This window comes from Homo sapiens, chromosome 14 (genome assembly GCF_000001405.40).
Source record: "Homo sapiens chromosome 14, GRCh38.p14 Primary Assembly".
NCBI lineage: Eukaryota > Metazoa > Chordata > Mammalia > Primates > Hominidae > Homo > Homo sapiens.
Window position 1 is genome coordinate 48,680,561 of NC_000014.9, and position 17,462 is coordinate 48,698,022.

Here is a 17,462-nt window from a genome sequence, read left to right on the forward strand (position 1 = left end):
TTTACAGAACATCTTGGAAATACCTAGCGACATTACTGAAATTTTGAATTGTCATTTTTTTATTAAAAGTTTTGGTTGATACACACACACAGACTATATATATATATATACACGTATATATATATATATACACACACAAACACACAAATAATATATATGCAATATAATGTAATATATACGAAAACAATGTTTATTCTTTTTTTTTGAATTTTCTAATTTCATTTTTCTTCTTGTATAATTGTATTGGCTAGAACTTCTATATTTGTTCTAAATAATAATGGTGATTGTGGACATCTTTATCTTATTCATAAATTCAATGCAGTTTTTCCTAGCATTTCTTCCATTTTGCACTATGCAGACTATATTTATTCTGTATTAATATTAATGAAATATCCATACATTGTATTATATTTATATTTTTATTAAGAATGGATGTTTAATTTCCTTCAGTACCTTTTCATTAGTTCTGGAATTGCTCATGATTTTTCTTTTTTGATTTATTAACACAGTGAACTATATTAATAACTTTACTTATGTTGAACAATTTTAACACTGCTTGAACAAGCTTCACTGGGGTTATTTTAATATGTCGCTTGACTTGGTTAGCTGATTATTTAACATTAGGAATGAAAATGCAAATCCTGTTTATAAGTGAGATTGGTGTATAATTTTTGCATTTTGTTCCCTTTCTGTTAAATTGTGTTATCAGTTTTATGGTTACTTGATAAGATAAAATTGAAATCTGTCCCCCTTTTAATTTTTTTTATTTTTTGCCCTGGAACCATGTAAGCAGCGATGGAATTTTTCTCTTCAAGAATTTCGTAGCGCTCTCCAAGCATGGTGGCTCACACCTGTAATCCCAGCACTTTGGGAGGCCAAGGCAGGCAGATCGCCTGAGGTCAAGAGTTCAAGACCGGCCTGCCCAGCATGGCAAAACCCCATCTCTATTAAAAATACCAAAAATTAGCTGGGCATGTTGGCAGGTGCCTGTAATCCCAGCTACTTGGGAGACTGAGTTGGGAGACTGAGTTAGGAGTATTGCTTGAACAGGAGAGGTGGAGGCTGCAGTGAGCCCAGATCACACCACTGCACTCCAGCCTGGGCAACAAGAGTGAAACTCCATCACACACACACACACACACGCACACACACACACACACACACAACACACAAAAAAGAATTGGGTAGAGTTTATCTCAAAGACTATACAATCAAGGTCTATTATTTTCTTAGTTTTTCCTTAATCTTTTAACTATCTTTATATCTCCATTGTTTTCCTTATCAAATTAAAAAAATATTCTATCACTGGTAATAAAAGATGAGAAAAATCAGTGTTCTTTACCATCTCTCAACTTCTCTAGCATTTCTTCTTTCAACTTTTATACTTATAACATTCCTACATTATCAAGATTTGAAATATGTATATGTTTCTTTGAAATCTCAATCCGTACATTTATTTATATTTTAGTTCTACAGTTGTAAATATCATGCTCATTGTCAGTACTTTGAATATAGGTTCTCTGCTAATGCTTTATGACATTTGTACTATAGTTGTTTAAGAAGTGATCAGAGAAACTAAAGTCTAGGAGTTTTTGCATGTTCAGGGCAAAACATATATGTTGTATGCCTTTACCCATGAACAACTTTTCAGTTGAATATAAGATTTTCCCTCAAGACTTTATAAGCACTGCTTAAATTCTTCTATGGACAAACATTGTGATAGAGAACTATGAGGACAAACTGACGTGTTTATGCTCATATGTAACACTTTTTCTGCTTGACTAACAAAGATTCATGCTATATATTTGAAATCTGGTAACTTTAGTAATAGATATGTCATTGTTAAATATTCAGTGTCAATTTTGCCTGCAACTTATTGTGCCTGTTCATTATATAAAGTCTCTTATTTCTGCAATTTAAAAAAATAAATTTTTTTCATTCTATTATTTTTATCTCTTCTTCAAAAACACCAATTACAATGGGCATAGTGGCTCATGCCTGTAATCCCAGCATCTTGAGAGGCAGAGGCAGGTGGTTTGCTTGAGCTCAGGAGTTCGAGACCAGCCTGGGCAACATGGCAAAACTACGTCTCTACAAGAAATACAAAAATTAGCCAGGCGCGATGGCGGGCCCCTGTAGTCCCAGCTACTTGGGAGGCCAAGGTGGAAGGATTGCTTGAGCCCAGGAGGTGGAAGTTGCAGTGAGCTGAGATTCTACTACTGCACTCCAGCCTGGGCAGCAGAGCGAAATCCTGTCTCAAACAAACAAACACCCACCAATTACATATATCCATTCTATTTTGTCTTAAATGTTCATAATTTTGTTTTTAGCTCATTTTATTTATTTCATTTCCATTTCATTTGCTTGTTTTTCTCAATCCTGATATCCTTGTCACTACTATTTTCCATGATTTTATTTTATTCTGTGAGGCTGATTCCAATTTGATTTCTATTTTGTGTTGTTGTTAACAGTATTTTCTTATTTTAATTTTTAAAATTTTAATTTTTGAGAGTACATGGTAGGTGTATTTGATTTCTGTTAATATAAGTAAGCAACTCTCTCCTGTTTCTCCTCTGAATTCTGCTCATGTGTTGCTTCATTCCTGTTATCCTTTTGTAATTGCCTTAAGCTCTTGTATTTCTGCTCTGAAGTCTTGGACGTTTACATTTGGGGAGTTAATAAAGATATAAGTAGTCAGTCACAATTGTCAATTATTTTAAAAAATTTTTATTAATGACTTATTTATATGCATTTTTTATTTTCTCATTTATTTTGCACTGTCTTTATTCTGACTACTCATTTGTGAATGAGGAACTTCTTTCTGGATCAAAGATTTTTGTTTGCTTTTTGTCTGTGTTCTGGTGGGAGAAATAGCCAAGGATATGTTGAAAGCTAACAGAAGTGCCTTTAAGGAACAAGATTGTATGTATGAGTTCTACCCAGCTGATCAAAATAAACACCATTGCTCATAATACTCATGTTCACATTACCAGCAGGCAGTTTACTGTACATGTGGCATCTCTTATTCATCTTTGCTTCTATTGCTTCTTATTGAAATCAAACTGGGACCAGAAAAGTTCCTAATACAAGTCTACATACCCCTTTCCAAATATAGCAAAAGAAGTCATCATTGATTGTGCACTTCAGTGTGTGCCATTAACTTTGAGTTATGTTTTGAAAATTCATAATGAGTCATATAAACAGGTCTATTAAATATATTTAAATAAAATAGTAAGTCGCATAGTTCTATATGACAACACTGGTGTTGATTTCCTGAGCAATCCTAGCATGTCTGAAAGTCTAGGTCTCCTGTTTCTATTTGTTCCACACACTTGCTTGATATTTACTGGATTTGATTGGGTGGGGATAGCAGTCATTTTCGAGTTTTGTCAATTTTCGATTTTACAATTTAATTTCTAATTTTTCATGTTGCTACTGGGTGATTTGTGAAATTAAAAAAAGGAAAATATAGCAAAAACCCAGAGATTTTAGGATTACTCTTAATTGCTTCCATTCACTTATCCTCCAAGAGTAGATTAATAGATTATCTTTCGTATCTAGTCTTTCTACAAAACTGGTCCTAGCCTGTCATCAGTAAATGATATAATCAGCCATTTCAATTACTTAAACTAAAATATTAGGATTCTTTCTATGAGTTCTCCTTGATGTACATCTTTCCCTGAGTCCCCACAAATCTTCCCATTTCACCTTAACCTCTGCTGCCGTTCTCTTTTTCTTTCCAAAGTCATCTTTTGCCAAGAAAATGCTAAATATCCCATGTTTCTCTGAACTCATCTTCACTTTTGCCCAATCTTTCTATAGCTGCACTTCCAAATACAATAAATAATAGCCACAGATGGCTAAGAAATATTTTAAACATGACTTATCTGCATAAAATCACACCAAATTTTGAAGATTTAACATAAAGGTAATATATAAATATTTAATTGAAAACTTTACACATTGGAATGATATTTTGCATATGTTGTATTTTAAAAGTACATTATTCAAATTAATTTCACCTGATTAGTTTTACTTTTTTAATAAGGCTTCTTGAAAATTTTAAATTATATATGGTTTCCATTATGGTTACATTAGTGGCTTATGATACATTTTTATTGGGCAGCACTATGCCGTATCATAAAAAGTATAGCTTTGTTGAAATACAGAGAGGATAATATACTAACCCAGCCTAAAACTCTCAAATGGCTTTATTTTATATTTAAAATCGAATCCAAATTCCTGTGATTAATAAGGTACCTCTTTTTTGATTTCTACCTTTCTGTCCAACTTCACCTCGAGCTACATATCCTCCCACTTAGAATAACTTTTGTCATGCTAGTCTTCATTTTGTTGCTTTGAACATACAATACTCTTCATTGCCTCAGAACTTATACATGGCTTTTTTTTTTAACCAAAATACATTTCCCCTCATGCTCAAACAGCAGCTCTTATCCTTCCTTATAGTCTTAGCTCAATTCCCACTTTCCAGAAAGGTATTATTTGGTTGCCCAACATAAAATAAGTAACCTTTTGTAATTCCTTCTATCATCCCCTTAACTCATAATGACCTACATATATATTCTATACAATATAATAATCAGGGATAATCTGTGATGGTTCCAAAACTTTTTCAAGCCATGTAAATCTTTTTGTCCTGTAGCTTCCCATTCATCAAATCAGTTGATAGGAATTAGAGAGAAGACGGATGGTACCGAGAATGTAGGTTTCATATTTTAACTTTCAGTATCAAAGATGATTTATTCTTAAATTCATAATATAAAATAGCCATTAAAATAATCCAAAGAAAAGTTTCTAAATTCCTTCTTTCCTGTCAACATATCAAGAACCAGCCCCCAGGGACATTGACAATAGGTTTTGTTATAAGCCAAAAGAAGATTTTTATCTCACCCAGTGTGGGAAGAAGAAAGAGAATAGAGCAAGGGAGATGTGAGAAATGTTAGAATTCCCTTCTCTAAGAGAAATCAGCCTGGGGAAGGAAAAACTCTTCACTAGGCTGAGAAAGAGAGACAAAAGCTAAAGGAATTTTTGTCTCATTTTCTCAGTAGAACTTTGACTTCTAAGCTAGATAGTCCTATGTCAACCCCAGAAGATTAATGATGGCATCACTGGGTTAGATGAAAGGAGAGGTGAAATAAAAGGTGAAAAAGCATGAGAGACAGAGAGACTCTCTCAACTCTCTTTGAAAAAAACAAAATTAGATTTTTATTGAAACTGCATAAAACTAAAACACTTCTGCACAGCAAGGGAAAACAGTCAACAGAGTAATGACACAACCTACATAATGAGAGAAAATCTTTGCGAACTGTGCATTTGATAAGGGGTTAATATCCTAAATACATAAAGAAATCAAACAACTCAATAGTAAGAAAACAACTGGATTAAAAAAGAAAAAAGGCACAAAAATCAAAATACCTAGGAATAACCTTTTTTATTTATTTTTATTATACTTTAAGTTCTGGGGTACCTGTGAAGAACGTGCAGGTTTGTTACATAGGTATACACGTATCATGGTGGTTTGCTGCACCCATCAACCCATCACCTACCTTAGGTATTTCTCCTAATGCTATCCCTCCCCTAGCCCACCACTCCCAACAGGCCCCAGTGTGTGATATTCCCCTCCCTACGTCCATGTGTTCTCATTGTTCAACTCCCACTTGTGAGTGAGAACATGCGGTGTTTGGTTTTCTGTTCTTGTGATAGTTTGCTGAGAATGGTGGTTAAATGTCTTAAAGGGATCCATAATTTACCCCATATCCCAGAGATAATTCAAAATATCACCTTGCCTTTTGGAGACACTCCAGACAGAAGTGCTAAACCCCAGTGCAAGTAGCTGAAAGGTAACAGATTAGCTGGTGTCAGGTATAGGCTGTTTGAGGCACCACATGAGTCTGCAGGCTATGTCACATCTAAAAGTTCCAAAAATTTGTTGGTTTAACCATCAAAGAAAGCCATTAAGCTCTGAAAGTTTCCTGGAAAACCAAGGATACATTCATCAGCCACACCTGATAAGAAATCAATGCAATGGATCTAGGAACTAGACTAGATTGGCTCAGTAGAGACTAGCAAGAAGGCAGCGGATATCAATTGGTTTCAAAGCTCTCTCTTCTACTTCTGGGAAGAGATGAAGCCCCATTCTCTACCCTAGTAACCTTCTTAGAAATAAATAGAAGGGAAGAAATTGGACATAATGCAAACTTACTGAAAAGCAAATGAGTCACTCAAAAGAAACTTTTTAAACAAAATATCTTCCTTACAACTCATGAGGATGGATTCATGAAGTTTCGATAAGTCATTGAAAAGAACTTCTAAGTGCAGTGGATAAATGTGCTCACTCTACACTTTCTATTCTGGCTCTCCAAAGAAAATTAAGCTCCATTGGCATGAACTAAGTCCCCCTTATCATTATATACCCAGCATTTAGCTTGAGATCTGGTATGCGGTAGATGATCAGAGGGAGAAGACAGGAGGGTCTGAGTTAGAAAGGAGACGTGAAAACAGAAGCAGAATTGTAGTGATATGCTTTGGAATTAGAGAAAGGGGTCATGGGAGAAGGAATGCAAATAGGTTCTAAGCTAAATAAAGCAAGGAAACTGATTCTCCCCTAGAGCCTTCAGAAAGAACACAGCTCTGCTGACACCTGGATTTTAGCCCATAAGATCTATTTCAGACATTGAACAACAGATCTGTAAAATAACAAATATGTATTCTTTAAGCCACTAAACTTATGGTAATTTGTTACAGCAACAATAGGAAATTAATGTATATTTTGAGTAAATGGGTAAACCAATAAATGTCTATTTTGGTGGCTTCTAATACCCTAAAGTAATATAGATGTTAACATTTGCTGCCAAGTGAAGGTTTTTAATGACACCACATGGTTAATACAAATTATTAATACATGGTTAGTACAAGCCCCAGAGTACATCTCTACATTTCACTAGTTTAAAATCATAGTAGCACACTGAATATATATAGCACATTGAATTTAATGCCAGAAGGCAAAATTACAGCTAATCAGAGTCTTTAGTATTTGAGTTAGTGTCAAGAGTACACCTGTGTTAATAATATAGCTTTTACATACTCTAATAAATTGCTTTACAACTTCCTAACAGTTGCCAATCTTTTGTATTTACCTCACTGAAGTCTCCTTGTATTTTTCAGGAAATAATTTGCTAGTCATAAGGAAGAATTTTTATTAAGCTTCTATGCTCAGTTACAGGTACATCATATTCCAAAAGAGAACCCAATTTACATAGTTCCAAAATAACGAGATTAATTTAGAAATTTAATAGTCACTTGATGCTTTACAAAAAAAGAAATTCTTTATATAAGAAGCCCTGAAATGAGGCATTTGCTTGAACATCACTGGGTACTTACCAGAAAGTTGGGAGAAATAAAATTTTCAGAATCAAAAATTAAGGAAACTAATTCAATTAGTGCCATCAACTGAGTAGTAGCTGGAAGTTAGGTATTCATTAGATTTTAATATCTGCCAGTGGCAAAGTATTAGACCATTTACAAACATTCAATTTCAACGTATTCATTAAGGAACACAGACACTATATAAAGAAGATAAATAATTTTTTGAAAAAAAGTATTTCTGGCTATGTGACCATAATTCTCAGTACATTGATTTTATTGTAAATAACTGCAAGTTTAACCACCCCATGTGATAGTGCTGAAATAACAAATAAAATGTTTTTTAATCTAAATAATATTCACAGTAAATACTAATTACAATCACCATCTTCAGCTGCCTGACTTATCACGCATTTTTCCCCTGGGGATCTAATAGTGCTCCTGCTTTCTCACTCTGCTTTTGTCCTACTTTGAAGTTAGTTGAGCCTAAGAAGAATTAGAGATGGCATAGATATCATAAAAAATGTTTCTGGTAATTTTAACTGACAGTCTAATGGAAAGTCTAGTCCTTCCTTATAAGACTGTGATGAGACAAATGGATTAGTGCAGAGTTCAGAGTCAATTTCCTTATTAAAGGTCCTCATAGGGCCAATAATTCCACAGTGTTCACATGTCAATTAACCCCAAATGTTAACCTGCAACAACTTGTTTAGCAGCTACCCTTTCTGGATATGTGAAAGGTTTTATTCCTGATGATAGTACAGAAAAGAAGAACAGCTCAAAGGTGGATATGTGATGAAAAACGGGAGGGAAAAATCAAGTTATTTTAAATTTTTTTCTAAAATGTCCTGTAGTATGGCTTACTTTTGAGTAGGATGTTTACTTCTCCAATATCCATATATTTAGGAATGTATGGATGACAAATACTGAAAAAATAATCTTACATCTGCAAACATTTCTGTGATTATAAAAGATTAGCAAGGTCACTATTTAACTCTGTTAAACATAACCAAGTCCAGACTTTTGCAGTAAAAGAATGACTTTTACTGTGTGTGTAATGTTGTTGTTTTAAAAATAGACTTATCCAGGCCGGGCGCAGTGGCTCACACCTGTAATCCCAGCACTTTGGGAGGCCAAGGTAGGCAGATCACGAGGTCAGGAGATCAAGACCATCCTGGCTAACAGAGTGAAACCCCGCCTCTACTAAAAATACAACAACAACAACAACATCAACAACAACAACAACAACAAAAAACTAGCCGGGCATGTTAGCACGAACCTGTAGTCCCAGCTACTCAGGAGGCTGAGGCAGGATAATCGCTTGAACCCAGGAGGTGGAGGTTGCAGTGAGCCGAGATCACGCCACTGCACTCCAGCCTGGGTGACAGAGATAGACTCCACCTCAAAAAAGAAAAAAAAAAAAAGCAGATCTATCCATTCCTATCTATTCATTAATCTAATTTATTCATTTAACAAATATTTAAGTTTTTATTGAGAGACTCTCACTCTAACTTATGTAATAAGCCATCATGTGATCACTGAAAACGATTCTCAAGGAAACATTATTTTAGGTCTGCATTTACTAACATTTTGCTTTCTGTATCCATGGTGATATATTTTGGAATTTTTTATCTCTAGCATTACAAAAACTAAGTTGGAAACAACTTTATTAAATTCTAAATTATTATTTATTTCAAACTATTCATAATCTGAGAATAGTCAATGCATATGTTTAAGTTGCCTATATTTTTAAATAAATTCTAAAAAATGTTATAAACTTGCTTCCTTTTGAAAATGAAAATGATAGAAAAAGAAAGCACAGCAATATCAGTATAAATGTAAAAGAAATCTTACTAAATTCTAAGTAAAAAATACAGCCATAAAATGTTAGTACTGTTTTATGCCATTAACAATGTATATGTATATGTATATGTATATGTATATGTATATGTATATGTATATATGTACCTGAATTTAGAAGGGCATAGGAAAATAAAGTGCAGTGGTAACTGTTAACTTTGATCTAATTTTTGATTTATTTCTGTAATAATATTTTAATCTAATATGGTACATTAATTCTATTCTTGCTGGATGAGTATGCATTTGATTTGATAACAGAGTGGGCAGCCCAAGTAAATCTAGGTTTAAAATGCAACTACAAAAGAATTTGACTGCTTATTTAGTAAATATAAAAATAATCTACTTAAAAATTTTATTTTTCATTGCTATTAGGAAGTTAGTGTTAAATTGCCACTTTCCTTTGCTCCTTTAAGTTTAGGAAATACACAGCAAATATATGCAGCAATTTGTGGATTTCTTAGCAATGAGGTGAGAGGAGTAATTTTCAATACACAGGACATTTTGTGGTCTAATTTTCCTTCTTGAAAATCCTTAACGTTTCAAAAATTTGCATGATGCATTTGAGTATTGTTTTGATGGTTTGTTTCCTTTAGAAATATTTCAGGAGCAATTCTCATCTCATCGGAAGATTTTTCTCTTATTATTAGCTTTTCAACAACACAAAATGAAATATGGGAATGCCCTGTTTGATTTCAGCTGCAATGCAGGGCTATTAATCCTTTTTAAATTGCTCCATAGCACCTCCTGATGGAACATGTATGTCTGCATTTGACATTTTTGTCTTTTCTCTTAATGTTACTTAGGCAAGCAAAAAAAACCTCCCTGCAGCTGCCCTTTTTATCCAGACTCTGTTCCTGGGTTTATTGGAAAGGTGATATGGATAATTTTAGTCACCATCCTTCTTCTACCAAGAAAAATCAGGCACAGATAAATTTCTTTTTCTCTTCTACCACTATGTTTTATTGATTTTTAGATTCCTGTTTCCTCAAGGTATTATAGTCTGTAAGTGAAATATTTTATATTTTTTTCTACTTTTTTATTAGCTTAATTAAATTAGGCAGCAGCAGCTTTAGAAGCTGCTGCTGTCAGTTGGAACAGGCACTGCAGAAAATATCAGCTACAAAACAATCTTCCATGATCGGCTCATTTTCTAGAAGGCTGATTCAGATCCCTGTCTTTGAACACCTTGACATCTGTGCATTTATCCCAACTCATATCCTAAATACATCTTGGTCACTTGCACCTCCTTTGCTACCACATAGTGATTCTTTCCCTTCTTCTTCTGCCACTCCTCATCAGTGCTGCAGTAGTCGCTGATCTTCCAGGTTCAGTAATATACTTCTCAGTCATTTGCATTCTAATTGGCCACTAGTCCAGCCCCTGGAGATTGTCCTCACATCTCAAATGCTTCCCAGCTCCAACAGCCCTTACAGGAAAAGATAAGCAATAAGAAACCATGGCAAGTAGAGTGCTTGGTTCCTAGTAATTGCCAGGAGCATTGTGGAATGTCATGACTAAGGTTTTGTCAAGCCTATTAGCTAATAGTAAGCATTCAAAATAATGAAAATTTCTAGAGCTCCAACATGCATGCCAAACAGAAAACTATAATTTACAATCTGTAATATTAAAATATATCTTAAAATAACTCAATTTTTTTTTTTTTTTTTTTTTTTTTTTTTTTGGAGATGGAGTCTCACTCTGTCACCCAGGCTGGAATGCAGTGGCATGATCTTGACTCACTGCAACCTCTTCCTCCCGGGTTCAATCAATTCTTCTGCCTCAGCCTCCCAAGTTGCTGGGACTATAGGCACACACTGCTACGCCCAGCTAATTTTTTGTATTTTTAGTAGACAGGGTTTCACCGTATTGCTCAGGCTGGTCTCAAACTCCTGAGCTCAGGCAATCCACCTGCCTCAGTCTCCCAAAGTGCTGTGATTACAAGCGTGAGCCACCACACCAGGCCATAACTCAAATATTAAAACACAGCCACACATAAGAGATACTTGAAATCAGTTTACTACACTTTAATGTGTATTATGTATTTATTTTTTCCAATACTTTTCTTATTGCTACACTGAATATGAAGCAGGTGTGGAACATAGTCCCTGTACTAAAAAGTTATATTCTAGGCAGGGACATATGACTAACCTATAGGAATGTATGACTAACATAAAGGCAATCTATTTACCTAACACCTAATCCAGTAAAGACAGATAAATGTTAATTATTAGAAATTGGATAAGTTACTTGTAATTAGGACTAAGGGATATAAGAACCAGCAGAAACCTTAGGGATAACGCAGTCAAGGTCCTTGATTTTGCAGAGGAAGAAAAGTAGGCAAAGTTAAATGACTTGTCCAATGACACAGAACAATTGAGTCCTAAACTAAATCAAAATATGCTAATATTTTGCTAATATATGCTAATATCATAACTCCTACATGAAGGCTTTCTCTACTATAGCCTGCATCCTTGTTAACAACAACAAAAAGATTTTCTATTCTTACATATTAGAATGGCAATCTAAATATTTAATGCTGGTCGTTACCTTATGTAAGCATAAAGCCTTAGTAACAGCACTGGTTAACTATTCGAGAACATATGACAAGTAACACTGGCTTTCCTGAGATTTGTAAGCTAGGATGGCTGGTGGCAAATGTGGCTCACGTACCCAGTTGTTCCTAGAAGGCTCTGAGAACTGACTCATGTACTTAGGAATATATATCTGTCAGCGACCAACATGGCTTCATCACTCTTCTGCTCTTCCATTCAAACACGCTTTGGTTTTGTTGTAGCCAAGGCTCTTACTGTCAAAGCCTGAAGCTGAGGAGGGACTGTCAGCACCTCTCCACTACTTTGGCCTTGGAAAAGAAAAATACGCTTTATTAACTTTGTAATATATTTTTGAAAAGCCATGCATATTAAATGGGAAGTTGAATAAACCTTTGCCTATTTCAAAACTAAAGTACACACTTAATATCCTGTATACTAAAAAGTTTATTGGATATTGCAGTAGTCACAAATGACAAATTAAGATGATGTTAAAGGCATGATAATTTAAAAAAAAAAACCTTTATTTTCTCTTTCAATAGCAACTGCCCCACGACAAGTTAGCTAGTAAAATGTTATTTCTATGTGATGTCTGAATTAACATGGTTTACTTAACAACCATAATGCATTCTAAGATTTAGTACAAAGAATAAATAGTTACATAATTTTTTTATAGAGAGGCAATGTGAATAGGTCAAAAATGATCTTAATATCCAGCATCAATAAATATGTTATGTTACAAGGTTTAGGAGAATCAAGATTGCAGAGTGAATTATGATTGCTAATCACATGACCTTAAAATAAAAAGATTATCCTGGATTATAAAGAAAAGGTAAATGGATTATCTCTATATTAGTTTTCTATCAGTGCTGCAACAAATTACCACAGACTTGGTGGATTAAAACAACAGACATTTATTATTGTGTTAAGAGACATGGAACCAATTGTGTGTGTGTGTGTGTGTGTGTGTGTGTGTGTGTGTGCGTGTGTGAATATATATATGGAGACAGAGAGATGTTATGGAATTATTTTACAGGAGTGTGAAGTTTTTTTTTTTATTAATTCCTTCATTTAATTGGATGAAACCCAACCACACTATGTGGGATAAACTCCTCGACTCATATTCTTCTGATTTACATATTAATCTCATCTAAAAAAATTACTTTCACAGGGACAACTAGACTGGTATGGTTTCAAACATCCAAGTACTAAGACCTAGCCAAGTTGACACGTGAAATTAACCATCCAGATTATCTTCTGTTTCTGGATTTCAAAATTTTTAAATGAGTTTCTCTTTGCTAAATTCAAAATGCTGGAAGGCTGTATTCTTTCTAGAGGACCTAGGGTAGAATCTTTTTCCTTTTCTAGTCTCTGTAGCTGACCACATTTCATGGCTTATGGTCCCCCCCTTGTATCTTCAAAGCCAAAACTTGTTTGTCATTCTCATGCTGCATCAATTTGACACTGACTTTCTTCTGCCTCCTGCTCCCACTTTTATGGACCATTGGGTCCACAGAAATAATCCAGGTTAAACTCCCTATTACAATTCCCTCTGCAATCTTCATTATCCTTTGCCATGTAACATCACATACTCACACGTTCCAGAGATTAGAATGTAGGCATATTTGAGGGCATGTGATTGTGGCTATCACATTCCTCTAGAGCCTCCAAAAGAAATTCAGCTATCAGCCTTCTGATACACAGAACTGAAAGTGTACAAGTCAGTGTTTTTTAAGCCATTACATTTGTGGTAATTTGTATCAGCAACCCCAAGAAATTAATACAGTTGTCATCATGAAGGAATGAAAAGTTTATAGGCAACAGAATTTGTATCTAAACACAATATAAACCTCCTTGTGAATTGGGAGCAAGTTAGAGGGATTTAAACATTTCATATACTTTAAGCACAGTGTCTCGACAGAGTCTTAAAGCCAAGTAATAGGAAACAGGAAAAAAGGCATAAAAGAAGAATAAATAATTGACAGTTTCCATGAGATAGATATTGCCCTATGCCAAGCTTTTCATATTGTGATCCTTCCAGCATTAGTGTTCTGTGAGATATTGATAGGGTTTCAAGCAAAAGCAGAAGTTTTACAAAATCAAATACTTCTGAAAAACTCAGGATTCTTTACCACAGGGCCGTGTTGTGTTTACAATCACTGGAAATGTCCCAATGATTGTGCAGTGTTTCAAATACTTTTTGATGATGTAATTTAATTTTCTCCTTTAACACATAATTCTATTAAACATGGCTTGGGAAATAGTGCAACAAGTTTGGCGCATTGGATACTCTACCAAGGCTACCATTAAAAGTATAAATATCCCTGCTCAACTGATTTTATATATATTAATGAGAAATGAATGACCCTACTTATCTAACTTTTAAATTTGAAAAAAGCTTATTAATTCAACTAAAAATGTATATTGAACAGTTTCCACAGGCACAGCTTTCTTTAGTAAGTGTTACAAATAAATAAAATGGCTCATGAGGTACCTGTAATCCAAAACATCCCAGATAAAAATGAAGAACACTTTTGTTTGGGATGATCCCACCATGAAATCCATAAGCATCAGTGTAAAACTAGACATATTCTATTGATTTCAATCAACCCGGTCTTTGCTGTTAAGTCACCTGTTAAGTATCAGTACTCAGGGTTACCATTGCTTTTTAGGCCCACTCAGCCAAAACTCTGCATCTTAGGTACATTCACAGAGTAAAGAAGAAAGAGGAAATTTGACATATCATGAGACATAATTTATAAACAGGATTGAAGTAAATAAACAGAATTAACTTTGGAAGGCATGTTAATTTTTGCCAACAACAACAACAAAAATCCATAAAGCAATTCTAAACAAGATATATATGAATCAGTTGAGAGTACATATAAAGAGCATGTATGTGGTCACTGCAATACTATTCACATAGCAAAGACATGGATTCAGTCAAGGTGCCCATTAACAGTAACTAGATAAAGAAAATGTGCTACATACACACCACGGAACATTACACAGCCATAAAAAGGAATGAGATTATGTCCTTTGCAGCAACCTGAATGGCATTAGAGGCCATTATCCTAAGCAAACTATTCAAATACCTCATGTTTTCACTTATAGGTAGGAGCTAATCATTGACACAAAGAAGAAAACAACAGACACTGAGGCCTATTTGAGGGTGGAGGGTGGGAGGAGGATGAGGATCAAAAAAACTACCTATAGGTACTATGTTTATTAACTGGGTAAAAAAATAATCTGGACACCAAACTCCTATGACATGCAATTTACCTATATAACAAATCTGCACATGTACCCCGAATATAAAATCAAAAAGTTAATAACTGTTCCAACAAAAACAAACAAATACATAATTGAACTGTGTTTTCATTACTAAATTATAGGAGTCATTTATATATTCTAGGTAGAAGCCCTTTGTCAGATTTACATGTTGTAAATACTTTCTCCTGGACTTTGCCTTGTTTGTTAATCTTAGTAGTGTATTTTAATGAATAAGAGTTTTAAATTTTGATAAAGTCGCATTTATTATTTCCCTTTATTGTTGATACTCATGTCCCTTCTAAGAAAACCATTGCCTACTTGAAAAATAAATAAATAAATAAATAAGGAGATATGTGATTAGAAATGTACTAAGTGCTAACAGAAACTTGAGGAAAGAGGAACAATATAAGCAAAGTGACTAAGTACTAACATATTTGCTTAATCTTAGTGATTTGGGTAGAAGAGAGGGAAAAAGGCAATCTTGGACGAGGGAACATGAAAAAATGCAGACGCAGGAAAGAATAATATATTTGGGGTTCAGATAATCATGCAAGAAGCTACTGTGTAAAAATTAGTAAAAATTAAAGGTTCTTCCACATTTATTTGGGGCAGACACTACTTACTACTTTCTTAAGATGTTATGTCATTATTAATGTATGGGCAGGAGAGTCAGGGGTGTTGGAGAGATGCAAGGTAGCAAGGATCTAAAGGCCAAAATCCAGAAAGAAAAAAACCCATAGAAGAAAATCATATATTCTCCCCTCAAGACATTTGCTAATTTTAAAGCAGCAGCTGAAAAGACTAAGAATGTGAGAAAGTAGCAGCTGAGTGGCTGAGAAGGTGAGCAAAGCTTATGACAATACCATGGGTTTAAGGAGACAAAAATTGAACATCTGGGCCCAAAAAGGAAGAAAGAACCTAATAAACACTTCAGATTTTAGATTAGACGTTCGTAGGACTTCCCCTGACAATAAGGGCAACCCAGAAATAGATCAGCCTATAAAAAGTGTGAAGCCTAAATTTAAATAAATTTTATAACTGGTTTGAAGTTCTCTTTCCCTACTGAAAGTCCCATCGACACAAAAGTAAATCTTTTCAGCAGGAAGATAATATTATTTAGACCCTCAAAACATCTCTGTTTTTTATATACAATAACCAACATTCAATCAAAAATTGCCAATATAAAAGGAGTGAAGATCACATAACTGCAAACCAAGAGAATAGAAACAAACTCACAAAATATTCAAATATTGGAGTTAGCAGACATGGATTTAAAATTTCTATGATTAACATGTTTAAAAATTATATAACAACAGGAAACTAACAACATAAAGTAATGCATTGAAATGTAGAATTTAAAATAACACTTAAAATTAAAACTCAGTAGATGCTCTTCTTACAAACAGTAGTAAACCAAGTTGAGATAAGAACAGATGAAAGATTGGTTAGAAATAAAACATCACTATACATGTGTCAGGGCAGGGGTATATGGGAACTCTATACCTGCCTCTCAATTTTGCTATGAATCTAAAACTGCTCCAAAAAATTGTCCTTAGAGGGGTGGCACCAAGATGGCCAAATAGGAACAGCTCCAGTCAGCAACTCCAAGCATGAACAATGCAGAAGAATGGTGACTTCTGCATTTCCAACTGAGGTACCAGGTTCATCTCACTGGGTTTTGCCAGACAAGTGGGTGCAGCCCATGGAGCAGGGGGGGGCATCACCTCACCCAGGAAGTGCAAGGGATCCAGGAATTCCCTTTCCTAGCAAAGGGAAGCCCTGACAGAGGGCACCTGGAAAATCCGAACACTCCCACCCTGATACTGCACTTTTCCAATGGCCTTAGCAAATGGCACACCAGGAGATTACATCCCGCGCCTGGCTTGGAGGGTCCCACACCCACAGAGCCTTGCTCACTGCTAGCACAGCAGTCTGAGATTCAACTGCAAGGCAGCAGCGAGGCTGGGGGAGGGGCGTCCGCCATTGCTGAGGCTTGAGTAGGTAAACAAAGTGGCCTGGAAGCTTCAAATGGGTGGAGCCCACTACAGTTCAAGGAGGCCTGCCTGCCTCTGTAGACTCCACCTCTAGGGGCAGGGCATAGCTGAAGAAAAGGTAGCAGAAACTTCTGCAGACTTAAATGTCCCTGTCTGACAGCTCTGAAGAGAGTAGTGGTTCTCCCAGCATGGAGTTTGAGATCTGAAAATGGACAGACTGCCTCCTCAAGTGGGTCCCTGACCCCCGAGTAGCCTAACTGGGAGGCACCTCCCAGTAGGGGGGTGACTGACACCTTATAAGGCCAGGTGCCCCTCTGAGATGAAGCTTCCAGAGGAAGGATTAGTCAGCAACATTTGCTGTTCTTCAGCCTCTGCTGGTCATACCCAGGCAAACAGGGTCTGG

The 17,462-nt window shown here is 35.2% G+C and overlaps 1 long non-coding RNA gene across 1 annotated transcript in view; it reads right to left on the bottom strand.

The window, feature by feature from the left end:
• The window catches only part of LOC105378178 (uncharacterized), an 894,025-nt gene that overhangs the window by 286,562 nt on the left and 590,001 nt on the right, over positions 1-17,462 (bottom strand). The window lies entirely within an intron of this gene.